At 39.1% G+C, this 20,288-nt stretch overlaps 1 protein-coding gene across 2 annotated transcripts in view, besides 1 other annotated feature; it reads right to left on the reverse strand.

The window, feature by feature from the left end:
- The window catches only part of MCC (MCC regulator of Wnt signaling pathway), a 466,348-nt gene that overhangs the window by 201,273 nt on the left and 244,787 nt on the right, over nt 1–20,288 (reverse strand). The gene's annotated exons all lie outside the window — the stretch shown is intronic.
- Nucleotides 12,017–12,991: an enhancer, noted in NCBI's record as "NANOG-H3K27ac hESC enhancer chr5:112571092-112572066 (GRCh37/hg19 assembly coordinates)". NCBI's record gives its function as "activates a minimal SCP1, AML or CMV promoter by ChIP-STARR-seq in naive H9 embryonic stem cells {active_cell/tissue: H9 hESC(naive)}" and the evidence as "EXISTENCE:reporter gene assay evidence [ECO:0000049][PMID:30033119]".

The raw sequence follows: 20,288 nt of genomic DNA on the forward strand, positions 1-20,288 counted from the left end.
TTGAAAAGTACCTGTTCCCCTTGGAGCTCTTCTAGTTCTCCAAGGTCTCAACATATTCTGGCCCTGGGGATGCGTTTGAATTTCTGAAACTGCTATTAGATAACATCACTCTGGTGATACTGCCAAGCCTGTAACAGGAAGACTGGTGGCAAAGACAGGGCAGGAGATCCAACAAGTCTATATTAAGGCAGTGGAAGTAGGGACTGGAAAGGAAGAGAGGCTACTTGAGAATTTTTTTTAAAGCAGGGATTAAATGGTAATTCGATAAAGGGAAAGGGAGAGGGAGAAGTCAAAGTTCCTAGCCTAGACCACAGAATGACCGATCTACAAAGAAGGGCAGAAACTGGTAAACTGGTCAGGGCAAGAGGAGCACAAGGGCAGAGAAAATGATGCCTCATTTGTTCATAGGTTTGTTTCTGTTACCTGGCTAGAGATTTGACATTTAACCAACAAATAAGTACTTCATTTTCAGTACATCTAGCCCAAAACTGGCACTCCCCACAAACCTTCTGTTCCACGTACTGGCATTTTCTCCCTGCTTGCAGGCCAAGGACTCCTAGACCTTCCCCATGTGAATCACAAACTCCTTGCTCTGCTGCTACACCAACCAGCAACACTTCCTGGGACTCACCATTTCAGATCTTTTACAAACAATAACTCAAGGAATGCTCATACCAATTCTTGGAGGAGTAGGTATTGTTATATAGTTTTTGTTTTGTTTTGTTTGAGACAGAGTCTCACTCACTCACTCTGTCACCCAGGCTGGAGTGCAGTGGTGTGATTTCGGCTCACTGCAACCTCCGCCTCCCAGGTTCAAGTGATTCTCCTGCCTCAGCCTTCCGAGTAGTTGGGATCAGGCACGCGCGACCACATCCGGCTAATTTTTGTGTTTTTAGTAGAGATGGGGTTTCACCATGTTGGCCAGACTGGTCTGGAACTCCTGGCCTCAAGTGATCAGCCCGTCTCGGCCTCCCAAAGTGCTAGGATTACAGGCGTGAGCCACTGCCTCTGGCCAAGTATTGTTATATAGTTTTTATAGTGAATGCATGCCAACTATTTTTCTTTATTCAAAGTCTGAATTGGAGGGGCCTGAAACAAAAACGCCTGTTTTCCTCACAGGAACTGCCCTCGTCCTTAAGCATTTTCTAATGGTGGCATAACCACTGAATCTTTTAACAGCACTGTGGGAAGATCAGAAGACTTTAAAGGCTCCCAGACTTGGTCAACTGTATGTTTTCCTCTGTGTAAATTCCAAAAGTATCACCACTAATCCAAACAACAGCTCTTCAAGCAGGAGTTAATAGAGGAAAAACCTCAACTGAAAGGTCAGGAAAAGGACTTTCCTGAAGTACAAATAATGGCCATGTGTGGTTGCTACTAAGTTCAAATCTTTTACAGATGCAACAAGATAAGTCTAAGTTCACACTCCTGTTCGCAAAAACAATCCAACCAGGGAATACGAAAATGACTCCTTAGGAAAAGATTTGCCACATCATCAATTACATAGGGCAGACAGGCTGAAAATTGAACAGAAGGTGGTATGTGGACCATGATCTGAGAGGTACCCAGACAGGATATAAGAAATGTAGGAGTGGTGACCCTGTTCCTAGTTGATCTTATACTCGGTTAAAAATAAAAAGAAGCTGAAGAATGAGGCCACATCCAGAAGAGCCAAGCGACTGACATGTCTGTGTAATACTTTATTTATCATCCAAAGCCTTATATACATTGCTTTACTTGGTGACAACCTCTGAGCTGAGCACTTCCAGATTCTTACATAGAGTCAAAGATGTCAACATCATAACACTAGTTCCGATCTGACTTCACGTATGACACTTATGTGTTTTCCTGTATATTCTGTTGAACTAATTTTATTGACGAATTTTCTTCTAAAATTACCCTCAACGTATTCTGACAGCCACCAACCTAAAGATCTCAGTTCCAATCCACCCAGGCAGTCATCACTTGAATTCTGCCACCATTTAGAATTGCTCTACCTCTAAGAGCTCAGTGTCAAGATTCTCTTCTTCAACAAAAACTTCTCAACCACCCTTCCACTTTCCCCACCTCACTCTTACTAAACTTTCTCTGGGCCTCCCGAGTTACCTTCTGGAATTTACTGAAAGCTGGTGACACTGATGACATTCTCCTAGTCATTCCCTCTGAATACTCACACCCTCATACAGCCTGAACTTAAAGAGTACTTCATGAATATATGCTCCATGGAGTCCTTCACCTCCTTGATCTTCTAACACAATTACAGTAAGAGGATAAGAATCACTACCCAGGAAACCTATACCAGGCACCTCCTCTGTTCCTGGTTCACTGACATGTGCTGTATAGTCACAAACACAGGCTCACAGGCATCCCAGGAAGCAGTGAGAACAATGGAATGTCAGAACCAGAAAGGATATTAGGTGATTACATCTGATGTCTTGACTTTAGCGATGAAAAAACCAAGGTTAAAGTGAGAGAGCTGGCAGGTGGTAGAGGTAACACAAGAAACGTCTTGGGCCAGGCGTGGTGGCTCATGACTATAATCCCAGCACTTTGGAAGGCCAAGGCAGGCGGATCACTTGAGGCCAGGGGTTCCAGACCAGACTGGCCAGCATGGCAAAACCCTGTCTCTATTAAAAATACAAAACAAATTAGCCAGGTGCGGTGGCAGGTGCCTGTAATTCCAGCTACACAGGGGGCTGAGGCTGGAGAATTGCTTGAACCCGCAAGGCGAAGGTTGCAGTGAGCCACAATTGTGCCACCATACTCCAGCCTGGGCTCTGTCTCTAAACAAACAAACAAACAAACATTTTCTTCCCCCAACCCCAGAAAGCTAACACAAGAAACCTTTCTGGAGAGGAAAAAAAGTTTTATTGGGATAAATTTATTCTATTCCATGGAATGGAACTGAGGGGCCAGGATGGGACCAAAAACAATGACTCACAAGGGATGAATGTAACTGGAAAGGCAGGAGCCATGATGGAGAAAAATGAGATGTGCTCAGATTTTAGTTTGCAGTCAACAGGAAATCAATGAACATATCTGCACAGGAGTGCAACAAGGTGAAAAGATTCCTGGAGAAGTGTTGTGGCACCCACGCAAAGAACAAAATCAGGCTTTCAAATGACAGCTTTTATTTTCAAATTAAATTATGTGTGTGTTTAAATGCCACAACATCTGGAAGTAACTAACAATTTAGTTTGAGGGGCTAGGGTCATTAACTACCATTTTAGAAGAAAACATGTTACAATTTAAATGATTTCCATATGCTTTTCAGGAGCTTAAATTAAGCTAATTGAACACTTTCATAAACCAATAAGGAACAACATCCCTTAAAAATGTTGAAAGTATTTATCTCTAGGATACAAAATTATGGGTAATTTTAGTGTTTAAAATTCTAACTTTACAATGTTTTATCTGTGGTATTATTTATCACTGGGTGAAGAGGCCTTATAAGATAGTCTTGACTCAGGCCTGAGTTCAAACTCTGTTTCTGCTATTAACCAGTTGAATGATTTCAACTTGGTTATTTTAATTACCTTAACAGTTTTGACATCTGAAAATAGGGATAACTATACCTGACTTGTATATTACTGTGAACAATTAAGAATGTATATTTTGTTATTTGCTAAGGATAAGGCAATGCAGTTATGACAGGGATATTTAACAGTAGCAGAGACACCCAGGCTCAGTTTTTCTTTTACTTTTTCGATGTGATATGACAACTTATTTCTAAAAGGGACTAATTAAGTGACTTTGTTTAGCATTAGAGCATTACAAAGCCTTAAATGGTTAACAAAAATTGCCCATAATATTTCTCTAGACACATTTGAGACTCTTGAAGTTATCTCTACCTATTATCCTGTTTCTAGAGCAACTTCTATCAATGGTATCCCAACACCATCTTCAAAGAATACGTTTCACAGTATCTTCATTGCACCAGAAAATATAAGTCTGTTCAAGTCTGCCAAATAATCTGGTGTTAGGCACTATAAGAAGTATATAGCCATACCTTAGATAACTCAAACACCCATTTTCCACATATTTCATTCCTGAAGTAGACCATAATTTATAGTAACTCGAATTATTTACATGGTGCCTTCCAGCTAGAGAACATGGTTCTCAAATTTGAATTCAGCTCCTATCCTATAGCTGTGGTGCTTATTCATTCATGTAACTAATATTTGTACTTTAATGATTTATAGAATAATATCCCTTCCATTTTAAAAAATCTTTAAAGAAAATCATATGTTTCTATAGACAGTAGAACATAAGCATGTCTAGAACAAACAATATGGGGATGGCTTATAAATTTTTCATAAGCAAGATCCAAATCTTAAAACTACTGTATAACTATAATACTATAAAGTAGGAGATGGACGCCAAACACATTCCATTCCTATAATAAAAGTAAAAAGTAGTCTCTTTTCCCCTACAAGATCTATCATTTTCCATTATTCCGCATTTTTTAGACCTGCCATGGAAATCCTACAGTAAAGACAATCTGTAAAGGAAGACTGCTCATCAGCTGTCAGTCTGATCTTTCATTCTTGGACCAATGCATCCTTCTAGTTAACGGCTGGTCTAATTTAGTCAAACCCAGGTATTACATAGCAACAGATGATGCTACTGTCAACGAAATCACAAGGTATATGCTTTAGCCCCAATGAGCCTGGGCTCAATTAAACTTAATAGATCAGAGAATTTGCCTACTTAAGTAGGTGTTGAATGAACAAATTTGCTTCTAAGACCACAGGAGAAAACCCTTAAACATTCTGAATAGGTACAGGGCCTGCTATGGCTTGAAAATGGTTTGTTCCCACCAAAATTCGTGTTGAGGCATGGTTTCTAATGTAATGGTGTTGAGTGGTGGTGGGAACTTTAAGAGGTGTTTGGGTCCTGAGGGACCCATGCTGTCTCGTGAGAATGAGTTCTTACACACACACACCTACCATACACACACACACACCACCCCCCGAATGGTGCTGGAGGATTCAGGCAGTGGAGGGAGTGGTAAGAAGGGTATTGCCAGACTTACAGAAAGCTCCAAACGGCCTCAATGTTAAGGTGACATTTGAGTAGACCTATAGGAAGTGAGCAACAAGCCTGGGGAAAGTGTGGCTCTGAGAAGTTGTTGTTGAAATGCTAGAGGAACAGCAAGGTGACCAATGTATCTGGGGCAGCAAAAACAAGAAGGAAGGTGGAGGTGGTGGTAGGGGTAGGGTATAGATCATACAGGGCCCACTTTCAGGACTTAAGAGGCTTTTATACTGAGTGCAAGAGAAAAGGGGTTTTGAGCAGAGGAATAACATGAATTGACTTATATTTTAAAAGAATCACTCAGCTGCTGTGGTGAGAACAGACTGTAGAGGGTAAGGATGGATGCAGAGACCAGTTACAAAAACAAGAAACACGGAGCAAATAAGCCATCAAAAACAGGTGACACACACGCTCATAGCTTAGCTGTGGGTTTGGTGACAGATTACTGTGGGGTATGAAGAAGAAGAATCAAGAAACACGTCAATGTTTTTGGCCGGAAAAATGGAAGGATTGGGTTGCCATTTACATATATGGGAAAGAATGTGGAGTCCAGAGTTTGATTTTATCATGTTTAGTTTTAAATACCTATTAAACACTGAAGAAAAGATGAAGAGGCAGCTGAATATGAGTCTGGAATTATGGCCTGGGCTGGCAGTATGGACTTAGAGGTCAGTGTTTGGATGGTTTTTTACAGCCCTGGCACTGGGTGAGAAGAGGTGGAAGGACAGGGCTTTAGGACATCCCAACATGGCGGATGGGGAGGGGCTGAAGAATCGGCAGAGACGAAGAAGGGATAGCCAGTGATGTGAGAAAACAGCCAAGAGACAGCTGTGTTCTGGCCACACTGTTACACCTGAACTAAATGCCTATTTAAAATGTTCAGAATCTGAAAAAATACTGCTGTTTCTTTAAAGAAGTATAAGGTTAAATATCCTGTAAGTAAATACTTAATGATAACTAATAGCAACCAGAAACTGCAATCAGATGTTTTTCCAAACACCTAGTACTGTGAAATATCAGTGATTTCAATTAACACGCAAATGGAGGAGGTTAGCTTAAAAAGAAAAGATGAAAAGTTTTCAGGTCAGCAAAAGTGATCCTCCTGAGGATTACTGGCCCAAACTTTTCTAATGCCCTCTGCATGGGTTTAGGATACAATCACTCCGGCAAGTGTTTTTAGTGATCTAGAGAACTATTTTGCAATTACAGTCATGTGCTGCATAACAACATTTTAGTCAAAGACAGGCCACATATACAACGGTGGTCCTGTAAGATTGTAATACCACATTTTTACTATACCTTTTCTATGTTTAGATATGCTTAGATACGCAAATACTTACCACTGTGCTACTATTGGCTACAGTACTCAGTACTCAGTACAGTAACATGCTGTACAGGTCTGTAGCATAGGAGCAACAGGCTACACCATATGGCCTAGATGTGTAGTAAGTAGACTGTGCCGTCTAAATTTGTGTAAGGACACTATGAAGTTTGAACAACTGATCCCCTAACAACACATTTCTCAAAATGTATCCCAGTTGTTAAGGGAAGCATCACTACCATATATGCCGCATTTCTGCTCCACTACAATCTTCTCTCTAGCTAATGTGTAGTCAAAGGATGGAAGCAAATTGAAATCTTCATATGATTCTCAGTCCCCAGTCAAGAAGATGTTAAATAGTGGATTCTAAAAATGGCCATTGTAGAGTTAAATTGCCTAATCCTTTTTCCTACAAAATTAGGGCAGCAGTAAGTTTTGTTTTTTTGTTTTGGTTTTTTACTTTTACTGTTACTGGATGTTAACAGTTGCTTTCATCATTTAAAAATATCTTCATTAAGAATTCAATTTGAAGACTCTCTTAAGACAGCTAACACATCAATGTCCTTGAAATATGACTTTTAGGTCATACAATTTTAGATAACAGAGGGAGAGGGAGAACTTATATCTCATACATAAACAACACAGAACATCAATGTGTTTTCAGAAACTAATCAATGTGATATCACAAATGTTAATAAGAGGGCCCTAATCAAATTCTTATATGCAACATTGCCCATCTTATCATTCCTTCTAGCATAATGAGCTGAAAGCTATAATACCTTGACATTTCTTCCTTTAACAGAGAGAATTTTTCACACTGACTTTTCAATTCAGCAAAGCTATACTGATCCAACAAGAATTAAGGATCTAGTCCATCTAAAGCAGTAAAAATATATTAACATAGTCTAATTTGGAAAAAGGTTTACTCTTCCTATATTTGGAGGATACAAGTTAATGTACTATTTTGCAGATATAAATATGTGGTGCAATGAGGAAAGAATCCCAGTGTCCATTTTCACCTCAGTTATGTGAACCTAGCTACATGACTACCTTCACATATTGTGATTTCTCTAAAATGAAAACTACCATTCCATTGACTTTCTCTTCAATCAGTTGAGCTGTATTACTACAGAGGATTGCAAAACAGACCATTATCTCAATTCTTATTATCATGCTCCTACGTGCTCCCCATACCTTAAAGGAATTTTCTGATTCTAAAGAGATGAGCCCGACAAACACTCCCCCAGCTACAGGAATTTCTTGGATTGTAGAACTGATATACTGCAGTCAAAAATTTTAAAGACTTCATTCTGAAAAGCAAATCCTCTTCTCCAAAACTCTAATTCCAGAAACGTTTCCTAAGGGGGAAAAAAAATCTCAAGAGCTTGACCTTAAATCACTGGTGAGAAATGCAGAGTAAGCCTTTTTTGTTTTGTTTTTTACTGAGGATTGAGGTACTAAAACATTTCCCTATTTCAGTGCTTCTCACTCCCTGCGAGTCTCTCCCTTTTACCATAAGAAGAGAGTTTCCCAGTTTTAGAAATTTCTTAATGTCACACTTCCAACTCTTTAATTTAGGAGTTCAGTTTGTATTACATTCTCACACATCACCAGTAAATATGCTTCCATCTAAAATCTGTCTTAGGACACAAATCCTTACAAAGTGGTGTCCTTTTGTTTCAGTTTTGTAAATTAGATATTCTTACCAAGTTACAATGAAAGAGACCTGCTATTTAGCCAGATCACAACTCAGAATATTCATATGACCACAGGACATGGGTGATGTTTCACCCATTAGTCATGGCTGTCTCCCATGTTCACTTTGTTCCTACAGGCAAATATGTTAATGAGCTTTCTCATTAATCCTCTTTCCCCCATATCATCTCTAAAATGGAATTTCCTCCTAGGAAGAAAATGTCAACAAATTTTCTTGACAGCTATGAAAGTTACAAGTCATGTCTCTAAGATAGTCGTGATTACCAATTTGCCAATGTGTCTGAAAGAAATAGCAAAAATATGTATTGAACTTTGAGACAAATATCATGGTTTTGCTGATATCCAGTGGGTTTTTGCAAGCTGTCATATTTATTATAAGGCTATTTCACATAGTCAGTGTTGCCAATGAACATCCAAATCATTGTCTACCTTAGTAGACTTCAACTCTATTAATCCCCAGTAATCTCTAGTTTTTACTATATATCTGACAACTTACTGACACTAAGTTGTACAGGACCTATATAATTTTGAATCTAAACAACCTCCTGGTTTTATAATGTAGACTCAAACTATGAAATACAATTGCCTAAATAGTTTATCACCACCTCAAGCACAAAGATACTATGTTATTTGTTAACTAGCTTTCACCTTAAAGCAAACTCTAAAATAAAAGCAAAAATAAAATGTATCACTTTTAACATTGAATTTTCTAAACTCCAGGGGAAAAAAGAACAAGCATGAAAGTCACATCCATCCACAGTGAAGTAGGAAAACAACATATCCAGAATCCTTTTCAGATTTGCATTTCTGCTTAATCCATTTAATGTAGTATGGTTGTATTCTATCTTCCAATGCTGGGATACTGGGTCTCAGTGGATTTCAGTGGGTGAATGAGGAGTCCAGTTACATAATTTTGGAATCAATCTTCCAGAATTGGATGCCTGAACACTAGCACATAATAGCAACAGGCCATGTGAGTCAACATGTCCACACCCTTGCCCAAGTCTATCAGCTTTCAGGCATCTCCAAACACTCCCTTTGCCTTCCTATTCTGAATTCGCACGCCCAAAAAAGCTGAGATCAGAGACTCTGTCAGTTTACTTGGTAGTTTTTTCACATTAACTTTCAGATTCAGATTAATGCATAATTATACACACATCAATGTACCAACACTTCAAAAAACCTTTAATGGAAAGTACTTTGAAAATTTATTAAAGCAAGAAAGGACCCATTTGAACACAAGAATACAGAATTGCAAATTAAGTATAATTAATATAATATTTATATGAGGCAGAACTTTCATACGGATCTTTAGAAAAACCCAGACTCTTCACCATGTGCAGAGTGCTTTAAGGAGGCTTGGAGCCAGATGGTCTGGGCTTAAAGCCAGGCTCTACCAGTTACTATGTGACCTGGGGCAGGTTCCTTAAATTCTGTCTTCTCAACTATAAAATGGAGATGATTTAAAGTATCTACCCAGGAGCAGAACCAGGATTGGAGAAGTCTGAAGCGTATGGAGCAGGCAGTTATTTTCAAAGACTTATAATCTTTTATAAGTCTTGTTACAGGGCTAAATGAAATACCTGTAAAGCACTTAGCAAAGCAGCCAGCAGGCAGGCAGTGCTCTATAAACCTGACTATCACTAATATTAGTGAAGAGAGGAAATGAGTGTTATAGGCCCATCCACTTTATCTGAGGCTATCAGAGGAGAGGAAACAAGCTTCTTTGAAACAAACTGTTTTGGAACCAAATGGAATATTTATTTACATGGCAAGTTATATCGGCAAATGTATGTAACACCTACCATGAACTGCAAAAGCTGAAAATACCCATATTAAGGGCGGAAAGTTGCCAAAAGGTTTGATGTTTTCCTATAATTATCTTAGATAACTAAATGTGCATCTCAAATGTCTACCCCAAATGCCTCTCAATGTCTCAGACTAGAATGCATGAATTTAAGAAAAGGTGACCAAGGTATTCATACTACCTGCTCCAAACACAAATATGAATGCAATGAAGTTTCCTTAAAACTTGACAGATTCTCTGAAACCCTGGGTATCTTAAGCCCTCATTCCAAGGAACAATCTAATGATTGAGAAAAGGAATAAAATGGCTATTTCTTTGTGATTTATAGTTTTGGGGTGATACTAACTGGCACATATGTGACTTCTCTCTCCTCTCTCTCACTGTCCCTTTGTCTCCCTCCACCCCAACTCCAGCCAGATGGCAACAGCATGTCAGAAACATTTAGTATTAAATCAACATTTCCTTGAGAATTAGATTCAAATCCATCCTGAGTCACCTAAGATATATTTGGCTGCCCCAAATCCCTAGATTACAAATAACATTTAATCCTAACAACTATGAAATTTTGTCAGTCTAACAGATGGTCTAGGATGACTCTGTCAGAAGCAACTCTGTTCATCTGATCATTCTCTGCTCTTAAATGGAAAAGAACTCATAGGATGGGGAGACAATGGAGGAAAAAGAACAGGGAGATACAGTGTATATGCAAAAGAGTAAGTCCTACCACTCTCTACCGCAAACAGTGGAAGGGAATGTTCTGAGCCACTTGTCATTAACACAGAGTTTAAACTTAAAGCTCTATTCTGACTAGCAAATAAAAGAATCACAGGTGCTCAATATTTGTTGACTAACTAAATTTGGTGGTGCTTATTTTCATGAACTGATAGTTTGTGAAAATGAAATGGCCTAATCATTACTTTGATGATAAAAGACATTAAAATATATCAAGAAACCTATTTATTATATAATACACCATCATGATACTGAAAATTACCTTTAAATGCTCCATGGTCACTTTCAATATTTAGCATATATGAGATGGATTCTTCACATTACTATAAGTCTTAAATCTTATATAAAAATATATAAATTTTAATAAAATCAAGGGTCATGATCCTAGCAAGCCAAGGAAAGCTCTGAGAGCAACACTTCAATAAGAAAATGCAATCAGCCTTACCACATTCTTCCTTTGTGGAGTGTGACTAGAAGTGGCAACTCTGCATCAGATCACAGTAGAGGAGCACACTGCAGCATCTTCCTATGCTTCAGCATGCCAGGGAAGCCCCCCTAGACGGGCTTTTTACTAAACCCAAATCCCTCAAAAGAGGTCTCTATCTCTACCCATAGTTTCCAATTTCCCTTTAAAAATACAGAAAAACAGAGAATATCTGTTGAGTGCAGATATTATATATAGAAAACAACTAGAGTTAAAACAGGACTCTTCTTCCTGCCCATTTCCTCAAGGAAACTCAGTGCTCCACCCAGCCTTGTGCATAATACTATACTTCTTCACAGGCCCCAGATATGCAGATGACAAATAGAACACAAGCTACTAAAAGCAGTGGCAGGTTCCTTGTTAAATTATGAACTCTTGGGTTCTAGCAATTCAGTCCAAAGGTAGATGAAAGAGACAAAAATATCTTATGAAAGGAGATAAAACCAAGGCTTGATCCAATTAGGATTCTTGAGTTCGCTGCCAGAAATTCAGGTGGTAACCTCAGTCTTCTGGCAAACTTCCAAGAGCATGCGATTACCAGTGATGCTCCTAAAATGTTCCTTGTAAGTTCTGCTTTTCCTAGGCTGTGCCCAGCAGATTTTCTGGAATTGTTTGAGTGAGCTGATTCTGTTCCTAAAGCTGCCCGAGGTGAAAGGTGCCATATAAAACTTTAAACTGCTCCACAATAAAAATGGGCTTTTTAAAAAATCAATTGAGAGAACACCACAAAACTCTCCTCATCCTTTTTCACTTCATATTCTGGGTTCTTCAAAAGTCTGACTTCAATGCACTTGAGAAATGAATCAAAGAGGAATTTTTCTCTAAATAAAAACACTAGCCTCTTTGTTAACTTAGATTCCAATTATCAAACACACATACATTCCATATTACTTCCCCAAAGGAATCTCCAAATAATTTTTATATCTGATTAGACTATGTTAGTGCATTAGTTTCTTCATTCCACTAAACAAGAGAGAGGTAAATAATCCTCAGAGGAAAACATCAATTTAAGTGGAATTTAGCACTTGGGAATGAAAAAGATCCAACTCTATCATGCATACAGGAACTGAGTGGGGAAACACAAATAAAATGGTGAATGTGGATTTAACAATCCTGCCATTTGAGGGCACAGTGCTTCGCAACTCTCTCCTGGCCCATGTCCCTTTATGATAAAACTACACAAGGAGATTCAGTACTTGGAAAGTATTCCTTCACTTAAGGTGTAAAGAAGATTTCTGGACTGGGCACCATTTCTCCTGCAGAGAAACCATTTCGGTTAAGAGATTTTCCCACTTTACATTCCTCCAGGAAACAAATCATTTTGAGGGGGTATTCTTTCATTTCAATGTTATGCCCAGTTCTGCAGCTTCAACTCTGCAGAACACAAAGAACTGGAGTCTGAACATATATCTATTCTGCCTCCTTGACCTGATTTTGGTAGCCGTTAAAATTCGGTCAGAGTCTGCTAAAGTTTTAGAGAGTTCAGAAGATTGAGGCAGCTTTGGTGATGTTCCCGCTACCATTTCCTTGGTCTTCTAACCTAGGTAGGTCGGATTTCCTCATGTTCAGGTTGGGCCCCTTGGGTGCCTTTGAAGAGTAAATTCTATGACAGGTAAAAATGCTGGCTGCAAGATCCTCTTTTAAAGGCTCTCTGATCTGCAGAATGAGTCACACTCCCATGACAATATGAGATGGCAGCTGAGAGAGGTGAGGTATGCTTGAGCCTAGGTTTGAAATAATATTGCTGCATTTGCAGCATAAACCAATATGCCTGAGCCTAGGTTTGAAATAATATTGCTGCATTTGCTGCATAAACCAAGAAGGACACCAATAATCTGGAATGCAAATTTCAATAAATTCTAGAAATGCTGGTGGCAGAAAAGCTTTCCGGGACCAGAGAAAGGCAGTATCGAGGATAAGAGCATGGGCTCTTGGAACCACACTCCCATGACTAAATCTCAGTTGTATTACTTACTAGCTATTTGACTTTGGACATGTTACTTAAATTTTTTCTGTGTCTCCACTTCCTCATCTGAAAAATGGGGATAATTATGTCTAGGGTTGTTGAGGTAGTTGAAGATTCATTAGATTATGAATTATAAAATACTTACAATGAGTCCAGGCATATAATTGAGTGCCATTATAATGTTTATCTTCACTGTTAGCGTTGCCAACGATTAATATTACAATTTCCAAGTGAGTCACTCTGAGGTACAATAAATGATTAAGCTGAACACCTAGGTTAGGGCAGAGCAGATAAAAAGCCAGAAGAATACACAGAGAGGAGAACTAAGGCCCCTCCCTCCCTCCTCAAACTGATCGGATGTTTGTTCAGGGGGACGGGGGACAGGCGGGGTGGCTACACTTGGTGGGTGGCTTCGCTGGGAGGCTGGACCAGGAGAGCATTCCCACTCTTTTCTTCCTCGACTGAATTTATCATGAAGTCTTAAAAACATAAAGCTGCAATGAATATACTGAAAGAAATTAGACTCTGAATGTCAGTTGTTTTCACTCTGTCAAGTTGAAAAAATTGAGAAGGAAAGTGGCAACGGGGCTCCTGATCCACTGGAAGTCCTTGGGGAATTCATTAAATACTTGCTAATTGACTGAACTTGCCTGTTCAAAGGAAACTTGGAAATGTATACGCCTTCAGGGAATAAATCATGGCGTATACAATCCACTAAGTATCTTGCTTCTCAGGAGTAACCACAGAATATGGTTTATATGTAAGTTAAATATTTAATTGGTATAAATATACTACTGAGATCACTGAGGCAAAAATGTGAACATTTTACTTCTACTTTTTAATGACTACATTTTGGGCCATTATGCTTAAAGCTAATACCACAAAAATTTCTGAATTTTGTAGCACAAAAATATTTTAATATGACTTGGTTATTTTCATTGATATGCGGAAATAAATGTGTTCCATGAAAAGCAAATACCAACTGCTTCCACTACCCATTTAATGTTCAAAAATATTTTTATGGAAAAACCTAAAAACAAAATGGCAAGCCAGGAGAATTGGTGCCTCTGGGATTAGAAGGTCAGAAAATTACCTAATCTTATTTCTGCCAAGAAGGGTTACTTGCATTAAAATGACAGCAGTCACCAAGGCACTGGGAGGAAACACGGGCCAGGGGAAAACGGGCCGGCTGTATTTTAGAGAAATCACAAGCACACACATGGGCTACAAGAGAAATTATATTTGAAAAATAAAATGGAACTTCCTCATTGATTAGTCTCAGCTCCGCGATAATTTCTGACTGATTCAGAAACTTGCAAGGCTCTCATAGAACCCAGACAAGAGCTTTGATGTTGGCTGGATGCGACACACTGCCGGTGATTTAATTTTGTCTAAGGCAAGAACACTGAAAAACAATCAGAGTCATCTCATGCCTGAAGTATCAGAGTTGTATTATTTTCCAGTGACAGCAGAAAAATAATTTCCATGAATGAGTATGGTTTGGGGAGCTGGGGAGGGAAAAAACTGAAGTAGGGAAACAGAGGTGGAGGAAGCATGCTTTGTGGATTTTCTCTCCTTTACCAAAGAGAGCTCAAAAATTTCTGGCTGCAAGACTGATATCAGACAGACATCAAGAATGCAGCTATATCTGGCTTCCCTCATGGCATAAGTAGCACTCACAGCAAAATGCATGCAACCAGTCACTTAAACTCAGATGCAAAAATTACCAGGCTTTGGGGGTAGAGGCACCACTGTTGAAATAGACATTAAATCAAACTGATGAGCTTCTGGCACTTTTCAGAAAGGCAGTAATATTTGGAAACATTTTTTCCTGTTTTTTTTAATCAAAGCAATTATTTCACTAAAAACTGAGAAATGAAGGGAAAATGCCACCTAAAAAAATCACTATCCACAACTAATGGTAGAATTTTGTATATTTCATTCCAGTCTTTTCTCCTATTTCCTATTTGGCAATTATACATGACAGATGACCCATAAGAAAGCAAGTCCTGCATTTCACTCTCTCTCCTAAAAAGACTCTTCAATAAAGCTTTTAAAACAAACTAACAAAAAAATCCTGGTGCTTTACGACAGACCCAATTTTGCTTACAGATTTTCCCCAAATTTAAGATTTTGTTATTGGTTGTATACAATTCAAAAATGAAGGCTGTTAATGCTGAGTTCATAGTATAAACAAAGAGACCAGAGATTAGAAAAAAATGTCAGCACATTTGATTAGTTTCATCCTCCCACATGCCAATGGGTATGGGATGTGGAAAGACTGCAATTCCATTCTTACCATGGTTTGCCTCGACTATCAAGGTGATCCAATATGGCAAGAGAAAAAGACTAATGGTCTCAAATTTTTAACAAAATGGCATTTCCAATTTTTGTAAAATGGTTGTTTAGAACTTAAAACATATTTTCCAAAGAAGCAGTTACAAGAAGAGGTACATATTTCCAACTTACTCTGCAACATCTATTTAATTCCTGGGTTTAAACAGAGGTAACAAAGGTTTTAAAAGATGAGGTAACTATGACAATTCATCGAAATGTGAAGAGAATATTCATGCATATGTTTTTTTTCAATCTTATCCTTTAACGTCTAGTTTATTTCTGCTTTTTAGGATATATAACATTAATACAGTACTAAAGGTATTTAATTTGTAAATATACATAAATTGGACATACAAGCTGTTAAAGCTCTAACTTTATTTAAACAGAGAAGTTTGGACACCATTAGTTGAAACAATAACATCAGCATTACTTTCATTTGCTGCCATACTGATGACAAGATCTCTTTAGAAAAACATGTTCCATGTTTCAGTGGGGACGGCCCCAGGAATAAATCTGCCATGGAAACATCCAGTATACTGTGGGTCTCTTTCGGAGATAAATTGGGTAATAGGAGTTTGGAATCCCAAAAGGGCAGCTCTGAGAGGAAGCAGGGTACTCCCTTTCTCCAGGGGGTCCTCGCATGCAGCAGAGTTCTCAAACACCTTTAGTTTAGGCCCCTCTTAACCTGGTAAGTGGAGCAGACCTTGTCCTCATACATTTTTAAAGGGTTTCAGTCACACACTTGCTGAAATCCATTTGTGGATTTCTGGGACCATGATGCCAGAGAAGAGGATGTGGGCTCAGCCATAACTAAGAAGGAACTCCGTAGTAATGTCCAGATGGGGAAGAGGACTCGAGTTCTGAGACTTCAAAGTGCTGCCCATTTGTGGCAAACACTTCATTGAGAAATGGCTTCTGTGGATGCAGTCTAAGCCTGGGGTGCTTATTTTAGGCAACTATGGTATATACACTCACTTTTATATACACATTTCTCATTTGTCAGATTTCCCACGGTGAACTGGCAACTCCTCTCTGGGTGAAATCCAAACGTGGTGGAAGACAGATTCCTGGTTCTGGGCCAGGTCCTGTCAGTTTCTGATCATTACCTGGTTTTCTATTTCCAACTCCATTTAGGTGACTGAGTCTCCACACAGAGCTCAGGTTGAGCTTTAGACACAAATCTCATCTGGTCATTCATTATATGATTTGTATCCTCCAGTGGCTTCTGCCTTTTTGAAAAGTCCAAATTACCTACTCTTTTCTGGTCTCCTATTCTGCAAATTAAATCTTCATAAGTGATTATACTTTCCACATATGGAATGGAGGGTGGTAGAAAGCTGTCATGTCGGTCTCTCCCATTCCGCCACTCCTCTGCCTTCTGTGTGACTGCATAGGGAAGGACAGTCAGGATACCCTTCTCCCCAGCAGAGTAGTTGGCCCGGTGTTGAAAACTTGACCCAATTAAAAGCTAGTGAGAGAGCAAGGCCTAAATATACCCAGGCCTCAGGATCTAGCCATGGGTAAGTCACTCCTGGACTTATATGAGCTAATATTATTATTATTTAAACTAATTTGAAGTCCGTTTCTAAACTTTCCACTGAAATAAACCTAGAACTCAGACCATATTGAACTAACCTGCTTATGATAGGTGTGGAATCTGTTTATAAGGCTTTGAAAATAACTATGTTTACATCTTTCAACTGAACAGGACATAAGTCGATGGCATGATTCATGATATCCACTCTAGCATATGTAGCTTGACTCCACTGAATCCACTCCCCTTCCTCTGATACGTCTTCTTTAATACATCAGTGGCACTATTTACAGCAAGGATGGTTTCAATGGAGGTTGCTTTAATATTACATTTCCCTTCCTTCAAGAGTCTAATGCCAACTGTAACAGGATTTCTCATCTTTTTTCCTATACTCAGAGAGCAAACTGGGCCATTTAAATCACCCAGTTAATGTACCAGTTGCTGTTGAGGAGCAGATGGAGGTCTGCATTAGACTCCACCAGAATCTGTGCTCCAGAAGGCACAGCCTCAGGACCAGAGGAGCTGAGAACACCTTGAGGACCAGACCCTTATTCACAAAATAAGGAGCTGGGTACTAGGCGAGGAAGTTATTTGACTCAGAGCATCACGGAGTCAGGTGAAGAAGACACCTTTGCCCCATTCCACAACACTGCTCCTCCAGGACATCATGCAGCTCCCACACAAGGAACAACAGCCAGATCCTCTGGATGTCCTATAAATTAGTTGAATCAGAAACTGAGTAATATCAGTGTGTCATTATAGGTCATTTAGAAATAGCTTTAGTTTCATAGTAATAATAAGCTCTGAGCTATATGACATATTGCTCTAAACTGTACAGAAACTCAACTAACTTGCAGTCTTTTCTTAGGAGTATAACGTAGGCTTCTGGTTAAATGTAGCAGATTGACTACACACTTCTCACCTTTCCTTTCCAACAATGACTAAAATGATAGCAAATAAAATAAAAATTAAAGAAATAGCTAAGGGCAAGAGACTAGGAGGGAAGATAGCAGAGGAGTGATTTCAACAAATTTTGGAAAGACAGAATAGACAGAATGATGCCCAATTTAACTTCCTCAACTCTGCGATAGCCTAAAGAACCTACGGAGGAGATACCAAGAAAAATAATTTACTCTCATAGAAACCCAGAGAGGCTCAGGTTTGGAGAGACTGTATACCACAAAAAACAGGAGTGAGACATGAGGCTGGAAACTTTAGAAACTAGTTGTAAGTTTATTTAGAGAGAGATTGGACCTCCAGGTCTCTGCCTTAACCCTTCACACATACAGGACTACTGTCTCTCACCTTGACCACCTTCCCTAAAGAACAGAGAACTCTGTGATATGAAGACCACAGACCTCAGTTACTACAGGCTTTGACTGAAATCAAAAAAGGTATTACATGAAAGCATGTAATCTGAGCCAGGGGTCTCCACTGTTCCTTTCCTTCTCCAAAGTTTCATTCTGCCAAATGTTGGAAGCCAGGCCAACATCTCCAAAGTAGACTAGACAAGTCTTCTCTGGAAAAACTGCAAAGACATTCAGATTGACAAACACTTGGCTCCAAAGCCCACCTGTTGGCTAATCCAGCTATTCCCATAGAGCTTCAAATCAGATTTTTTACATTCTTTTAGGAAAAAAACAGGTGGCCATATATTCAAGGAACTAATCCAGCAGAATAGAGAACGACCAAATCAAACAACAGTATAAAATGAACACCCTCCTTCTCATAAACCACACTGTTTTTCATTGCTTCTAACTCCTTACTGGTGCTAACCTAATCCCACATCATAGGCCATCTTTGGCAGTAGACCAATACTGCAAGGTATACCCAGATTCATTAGAAATATTCTGGACTTAAGCAAGATATTAAATTCTTTCAGAATACCATTTGAGTTCATGTGTGTCAGGAGAGTAATAGCTAGGCTGAAAGACTAAACTTGGAGAAAAAGCCTTCAGTGATATGTTACAAGGCATTCATTCTAGTATATTCACATCATTGGTAAGTATGTCAATGGTATAATTCTCAAACTTCTGGATGACACCACTTTAGGAGGAGGAACAGCCAATATAGAAGCTGAGAGAACCAGAACCCCATCCAAAGAGAATCTGAAGAGATTCAGATAATAAAGGACAAAATTAACTGGAAAAAAAATTAAGTCTTACATTCACATTTAAAAACAACTACGCAAAACAGAGATATGAATTAGTAAGAGTTAATTATTAGTTTTTTTTTTAATCCCTCAAGAATCTGGGTTTCCTATACATTCAGTGACTCATCAATGAAGCAGCTGCCCAAAAAACTAATGCCTTCTTAGACAACAGCAGGAGAGGCAGAGTGCCCAGGGCATTGCACTTCAAGAGGGTTATGAACAAGGAACATGACCACACGGGGGTAACCAGATGGACACAGTTCAAGACCATGCACCACAGAGAAATGTGCTTCCCATCTCGGGTACTTCAGAGAGCCATTCCCTTCCATCTCACCAAAAGGAACAAAAAACTGTGTACTGTGGAAATCGAGAAAGCAAAGCCGTGACTTTACCAAAAGTAACAGGAGTCAGTCAGGCAAGACCCGGACAAGCTGGGTGATAGGAGCCAGTGGTGGTGAGAGTTTCCTCTCCTCAGTGAGAGCGAGATCATCAGGCAAATGCAATTCACAATGAGATATCATGGAGGGAAAGTCTGTTTCTCTTGAACTACTTACTTTAAAAAGTTTAAACCAAAATATCCAATGTAGTGGTCTAATGAATTCTGAAATGAACAACTATGCTTTCTGCCTATTATCTTACAATCAACATTTTTAGCTTTTTAGCCCAGGTCTAAAAATGGCTGTTACCAAGCATGTGTTTTTGTTTTTTTTGTTTTGTTTTGGTTTTTAATGGAATGGTATCATGTACTGGCATGATCTAGAAGTAGCTACATCAGCCCTCTTCTGGTAATGAATCATCAGCACATATAAATGGAAGGTAAAGACAAGATTATTTTATTAAAAGAAACAATTACTAACTCACAGGGCAACAAAGCTTCGGCAGCTATAGGATACTACTTGTGAGTATCCTATACTCCTATACTCCAGGTCTCTGCCTTAACCCTTCACACGTACAGGACTACTGTCTCTCACCTTGACCACATTCCCTAAAAGAACAGAGAACTCTGTAGTATGAATACCACAGACCTCAGTTACTACAGGCTTTGACTGAAAGAATAAAAGGTATTAAATGAAAGCACATAATCTGAGCCATGGGCCTCCACTGTTCCTTTCCTTCTCCAAAGTTTCATTCTGCCAAATGTTGGAAGCCAGGCCAAACCTTGGTTTCTGGAAAACAATTCAAAGGCGCTGGCCATGCCTAGT

Source organism: Homo sapiens, chromosome 5 (genome assembly GCF_000001405.40).
Source record: "Homo sapiens chromosome 5, GRCh38.p14 Primary Assembly".
Classification (NCBI taxonomy): domain Eukaryota; kingdom Metazoa; phylum Chordata; class Mammalia; order Primates; family Hominidae; genus Homo; species Homo sapiens.